The sequence below is a fragment of the Homo sapiens genome, chromosome X, assembly GCF_000001405.40.
Source record: "Homo sapiens chromosome X, GRCh38.p14 Primary Assembly".
In the NCBI taxonomy this organism is placed as follows: domain Eukaryota; kingdom Metazoa; phylum Chordata; class Mammalia; order Primates; family Hominidae; genus Homo; species Homo sapiens.
In genome coordinates this window covers 35,823,057-35,830,306 of record NC_000023.11, presented here as the reverse complement: position 1 = coordinate 35,830,306, position 7,250 = coordinate 35,823,057, and the positions used below count along the sequence as shown (strand labels likewise).

Here is a 7,250-nt window from a genome sequence, read left to right as displayed (position 1 = left end):
TGGATGGGAAAGCATGGAGGATTTCTCTTGAAGATGAAAATTGGGGAGTAGATCTAAAAAACAATACAAAAGAGTAAAGATTGGAATGCCAAAGAATAACTCAGGGACCTAGAGGTTATTTTTAGCACACTGTTTACTTGTATACAAGGAAAACCAATAAATAGGTTGACTTCATTTAACATGAACAGAAACAGAAAGCATAAAAATCAGAGCAGAGACAAGATTTAAACACTGCAGGGGGAAGAAGTGGGTCATGCTTGCATATTATTTGGGTAAACTGATTAGTTGGTGGTGGGGAGTGTCATCTTTCTGTATATTCTATTCTAAAATAGGCCAAATGGGGCATTAATAAAGTATTTTAAGTTCTTTTTGGATTTTCCCAAAACCTTGAGAGTTTAGCAGTAGAGTCAACATGATAAGCTCTTTCTACATTACATAACAGATCTACTATATTTCTCTCATTAGAGTTTCTTAGCAATGATGTAATGCGGAAGGATCACAAGCGAGGGACTAGCTTGATAGCAGGAGGCCTGTTGGACAGTAGTAAGTAGTAAAGTTGGAAATAGTTGGCTACATGGCCCAACTATCCAGGGCTGTGAAAGCCAAGCAGATGTTTTACAACTTCATTCTGTAGGCCTTGGAGAGTCATGGGAGATGAATGAGCCTGGGACAGTATAATAAAATATGCATTTAGTCTGGCAGCAGCACTGATTGCTGACTAAAATATCTTAGCCCTGAGACTACTATAAACTTGTCCAAGAGCACAAGATACCACGCAGTAGTTTGGGGAAATATTCATTTAGTAACTAAAGATACTTGCTGGAAACCTCTTATTTTAAAAAGGCAAACAAAAACAAAAACAAAATAAGATACACATTCTGTGTTTGTGACTCCATAACATGTGGTTATTTATTCTAGGTGTGGTGCAAATAAAAATATACATATTTTTTCATTTAATAAACATCTGTTCATGTGAATAAGGGGCCTTTGTAATGCTTGCCAGTGCTTGCTCCTACACATTCATCCTTCTATTTCCAATAGCTCATTGCACTGTATATGCTTAAAACTCTTTTAGCATTAACACTATATTTAACATTTTTTACTGACTAACATTTTTTCACACCTTGCTGACCAGTATCTTCTTTAATAGATCATGCCTATCATAAGGTATCTTCAGTGCAATTCCTTTTGACCCTTTTCTTCAATTGCTACATTGGATTTCCAATGGCAATTTTATCATCCTGTAATCACCTGGTAGTTCTGAAAGCAGCAAAGAGAGCATTTTCTATTGCTAAGGTGTAATTTCCAACAAAACTAAGTATTTTCATTTGACTATACTCTTAGCAAAATCTAGCACCTGGGACATTTGGAAACGTCTGCTCAAATAACTGATGTTCTACAAAATAAATTCTTTTTATTATATTTTCCTTATGCTATTTCCACATTTTTGATGAAATAATAACTGTAATTCCCACATATGAAAATACTGCTATTATGCTATTTAGTGAAGAAGAGCTTTATGTATATTTGGTAACATTAATGTTTTATTTTTTGTACCATCTAAAGATGCCCCTGAATTTCTGCATAAAATTTAAAGTGTTCATTTTGTAATAGTTTGTTAAAGTAAGCAACATTTAGTGTTTCAGACATTCTAATGGCCTTTTAGTAGTTTTATGTATTCTTAAAATTAATATGGTGTTGAAGTCTTAAATTTATAGGCATTGATTTATTTCAAGTATGTCTAACTTTTAATTTTACTGAACTAGAAAGTAATAATTATTTGCAAAGTGTTTCTGTTTCTTCCAGAGGTGCCAAATCGTTCCTTTAAATGTCAGTAATAAATATTTATCACTGGCGTTGCAAGATTAGAACGCACAGGGACAATGGAAATAGGGTAATCTGACATTGTTACATTATATTTACACTGTTTTATTTCAGGAGAGTGACAGTCAGTCAATAGATGGATGGTGTGATTAGTGTGAAACTCAGCACTAAGTTCAGAGAAGTGCCAAAGAGACAAAATGAATGTGGAACAGAAAGGCAAACCTTCTCCAATTGACTAGAGAGGCATGGTAATAAGCTTTGATTAACAAGGCAATAGTCATGTATCCCAGAAAATGGAGGTATAAAAATAGACCAATTGTCAGACCCTATTTTCTCTCTTATATACATACTTACCTGGAATCACCAAGTATTTGAAACATGACTCCATCTGCCTGGCTCATTAAGATGTGCGAACAGTAACAAATAACTGCATTAAAGTTAACAATTTAAAAGTAGATGAGAGTTTCTATTGTAAATAAAAACTATTATCAGCATTATTTGCTAAGGCTAAATGACCACAAATAAATATAGGCAATGATTATAACTTTTTCTCCTCTTCCCCTGATCTACTACAGCAATTATTGTCTTTACCATTTAGTAGCTAATTATGTAAGGTCTTACAATAACTCTTCTGTTTTCACTTGAAACAATAGTTTTCGGTTATTTAAAAATTATCATAATGACTTTAAAAAATAATGCATACTCAATATTTAGAATTTAAAATGGCAGAAAAGTAAAAAGGATGATGTAAAAATAACCATAAATCTCACTATGCATGAATCAATTCTTAACATTAAGCAAACTGCATTGCAGGCTTATTCACTGCTTGAAGTGGGTGGATAGATAGGTGGATGGACAAATAAATAGATGGATGGATAGAAAACTAGATTTACTTTTTATAAAATGGGATTAGACTGTATCAAATCAAATGTATTAAATTTAATTCTATTAGAATCTAATAGACAAAATATTTTGAAGTTAAATTGAAGAATTACTAAACTTCATGTAACTATTTGTCACCAAAATAAACACCATAATTTAAAAATAGTTCTCAAATTTAACAAAATACATTATGAGTAATATTATAAATTATGGGTTTTTTTGTTACTATGTTTCAGTTTTATGCAGTATTGATTGACGTTCCACTATGACAGATAATGTAATAATGTAATTCTCACGTTTCACAATTTTCTACCTCCAGGGACTTTTGTGTATGAAAAATAAAATTTCATAAATTGTCAATGTTTATAACATTTACATTCTGTTTTACCAGTGTTCACCAACTATCATTTTACTATAAATTCTCCATTTTTAAAGTCTTTATGTTAATCCAATTATTCACTGGCTGGATTTCATTATTATCTTAGTTTTTCCCAAAGGACTGATAGGATCTCTAGTCTCTGACTTTTCTCTTTTTCCAAGTATTTGTCTGTTTCTATAATTGCCTGATGGGTTTATCTTGCCTGCTTCCACCCACAAAAGCAATGGCACTGAGAACAGCAGGCTTTTGCAGCAAGGAAAGAGTTTAATAATCACAGGGCCAGCCAAGCAGAAGGATGGGAGTTAATTGTCAAATCCTTCTCCCAGAAAGCTCAGAGGCTATGGTTTTTATGGATAATTTGGCAGGTAGCAGACAAGGGAACAGGTGCTACTGATTGGTTGGAAATGAAATTATAGAAGTATCCAAATTGTCTTCACATACTGAGTCAGTTTCTGGGTGGGGGTCACAGGACCAGTTGATCCAGTTACTTGGTATGAGTCATGGATCTGGGTGGAGTCAGTTGATTGCGAGAATTCAAAAGTCTGAAAGTAATCTCAAAGACCAATTAGGTTTTAACAATACTGATGTTTTCTATAGGAGCCTTTGGGGAAATTACAAATCCTGTGACCTCCAGAACAATGACTGGTTATTGTTTAACTATGCCTACATCTTAACAGAATTCAGGCCCCTCCCAATCCTAAACTTGTGGCCTTTTCACTAGTCCTATAATGATTATTTTGGTCCCCAAGCAAGAAGGGGATTAGTTCATTTTTGTTTTTAAAGTAAACAAAGGCAGATAGCTTGTGAAGTTAGAAGCAAGGTGGAGACAGTTAGGTTAGATTTCTTTTACTGTTACAATTTTTGCAAAGGCAGTTTTATTTACTTCATATATGAATTCATCATGACTGTGTATGAAATTTTGGAGTCATTGCTTTCCTCAGAGCTGTGTAGGCAGTGCCCCATTGTCGCATGACATTAAAAATGGAGGTGAAAAAGGGAGATTAACCTGATATTTTCTCGCTTGTATATAATTTGTTTTATATCGTTCTTGACTCTGTTATAATTTCAAAGTGGCTGAGGGATTCAAGAGTTTTGACATCTCTTCCAAAACATCTTTGTAAATTTGGCACAGCATTCCTTATGAAATCTATTGTGTTCTTGGTTGAAACTGAAAAAGGAAGAGATTCTTTTTAACATTCTAATATCATGTTATTTAGATTCTTTTACCTTTCTAATTAATTCTAGCTTTATCTTTTCCTTTTTAATCTCTATTTTATTCATGTTCTTATAAGTTTGTGAGAATACCTTTTTATTCTTTGGGTTGTAGGGGCCAAGAAACAAAAAAATTTCCCCTTCACCCTTTGGAGGTTTCCTGAAAATCAACAGATAAAAGGCAGATTAATAGGAAAAAAAGGTATGTAAATTTACTAATGTTGTAAACCACAAGTATCTGAGACAGGTATCAATCAATTTTAAAAGTTTATTCTGCAATACCTAGAAATACAGCTAATCAGGACGTGAAAGATTTCTGCAATGGAGAATTACAAAACACTGCTCAAAGAAATCAGAGAAGACATAAACATTGGAAAAACAGCCCATGCTCATGGATAGAAAGAATCGATGTCATTAAAATGTCCATATTGCCTAAAGCAATTTATAGATTCAATGCTATTCCTGTGAAACTACCAATAATAGTCTTCACAGAACTAGAAAAAACTATTTTAAAATTCACATGGAACCAAAAAGAGCCCCAAAGCCAAGGCAATCCTAAACAAAAAGAACAAAGCTGGAGGCATCACATTACCTAACTTCAAACTATTCTACAGGGCCACGGTAACCAAAACAGCATGGTACTGCTACAAAAACGGGCACATAGAACATAGTAGAGATCCCAGAAACACACGTAGATCCCACATCTACAACCATATGATTTTCAACAAAGCTGACAAAAACAAGCAATGGAGAAAAGACTTCCAATTCAATAAATGGTGCTGGGATAACTGGCTAGCCATATGCAGAACATTGAAGCTGGACCCCTTCCTTACACCATATACAAAAATCAACACAAGATAGATTAAAGGCTTAAATGTGAATCCCAAAACTATAAAAATCTCTGGAAGACAACCTAGGCAATACCATCTTGGACGTAGGAATGGGCAAAGATTGCATCACAAAGAAACCAAAAGCAATTGCAACAAAAGCAAAAGTTGATAAATGGGATCTAATTAAACATAAGGGTTTCTGCACAGCAAGAAAAACTATCAACAGAATAAATGAACAACCTATAGAATGGGAAAAAATTTTTTGCAAACTATGCATCTGACAAAGGTCTAATATCCAGCATCATTAAGGAACTTAAACAAATTTACAAAAGGAAAACAAACAACCCCATTAAACAGTGGGTAAAGGACATGAACAGACACTTCTCTAAAGAAGGCATACATGTGGTAAACAAGCATATTTTAAAAACCCTCAATTTTACTGATCATTAGAGAAATGCAAATCAAAACCACAATGAGATACCATCTCATACCAGTCAAAATGACTATTATTAAAAAGTCAAAAAATAACCAACGTTGGTGAGGTTGCAAAGAAAAGGGAATGCAGACACTGCAAGTGGAAGTGTAAATTAATTCAACCATTGTGAAAAGTAGTATGATCATTCCTCAAAGAGCTAAAAGCAGAAATACTATTTGCAGCAATCCCATTGCTGGGTATATAACCAGAGGAAGATAAATCATTCTACTATAAAGGCAGATGCACATATTATGTTCATTGCAGCACTATTCCCAATAGCAAAGACGTGGAATCAACCTAAATGCCCATCAATCACAGATTGGACAAAGAAAATGTGGTACTTATAAACCATGGAATACTATGCAGCCAGAAAAAAAATGACATCATGTCTTTTGTAGAATATGGATGGAGCTGGAGCCCATCATCCTTAGCAAACTAATGCAGGAACAGCAAACCAAATACTGTATGTTGTCACTTATAAGTGGGAGCTAAATGGTGAGAACTCTTGAACATAAAGAAGGGAACAACAGACAGTGGGTTCTACTTGAGAATGGAGGGTGAGAGGAGGAAGAGGAGCAGAAAAAGTAACTATTGGGTACTAGCCTTAATACCTGGATGATGAAATAATCTGTGCAACAAACCCCTGTGACATGAGTTTACCTACAGAACAAACCTTCACATGTACCCCCAATCCTAAAATAAAAGTTTTTTAAAAGGAGAAAGTTTATTTTGCCGAGGTTAAGGATGTGTCCATGACAGACACAGCCTTAGGAGGTCCTGACGACATGCATCCAGAGTGGTGAGGGTACAGCTTGCTTTTATACATTTTAGGGAAACATGAGACATCAATCAACATGTTTAAGATGTACATTGGTTTGGTCCAGAAAAGCAGGACAACTCAAAGCAGGGGCTTCCAGGTCATCCGTAGATAAGAGACAAATGGTTGCATTGTTTTGGGTCTTTGATCAGCCTTTCACTGAATACACAATTTACATGTGAGAGGGGGTTAGAGGAATAGTCACTTACACCTTCCTCTGGCTCAGCAAATCTGCATTTTTACATAAACAATAGGGCAGAGGAAACAACCAGATATGCATTTGTCTTAGGTGAGGAGAGGGATGACTTTGAGTTCTGTCCTTTGTTCCACACTTGTGAAGGTAAGCTATCAATTTACATTGCCAGGATGAAATCCAACAGAACTGTTTTAAAGTAAAGGTCTTGAGACCCACAAGGAATTTCCTTGTGGGCAAATTGTGAAGGAGGTATGTAGCATTTGTAAACCAGAAAGTATCTGAGACAAGTCTCAATCAATTTAGAAAGTTTATTTTGCTGCACTTTGGGAGGCCAAGGCGGGTGGATCACCTGAGGTCAGGAGTTCAAGACCAGCCTGACCAACATGGAGAAACCCCGTCTCTACCAAAAACACAAAATTAGCCAGGCATGGTGGCATATGCCTGTAATCCCAGCTACTTGGGAGGCTGAGGCAGGAGAACTGCTTGAACCTGGAAGGCAGAGGTTGTGGTGAGCCGAGATGGCGCCATTGCACTCCAGCCTGGGCAACAAGAGTGAAACTCCGTCTCAAAAAAAAAAAAAAAAAAAGTTTATTTTGTCAAGGTTAAGGACGAGCCCATGACACAGCCTCAGGAGG

General features: G+C 35.4%; 1 annotated feature.

Moving 5' to 3' along the window:
• Positions 6,289 to 7,037: an enhancer, noted in NCBI's record as "NANOG-H3K4me1 hESC enhancer chrX:35841387-35842135 (GRCh37/hg19 assembly coordinates)". NCBI's record gives its function as "activates a minimal SCP1, AML or CMV promoter by ChIP-STARR-seq in naive and primed H9 embryonic stem cells {active_cell/tissue: H9 hESC(naive and primed)}" and the evidence as "EXISTENCE:reporter gene assay evidence [ECO:0000049][PMID:30033119]".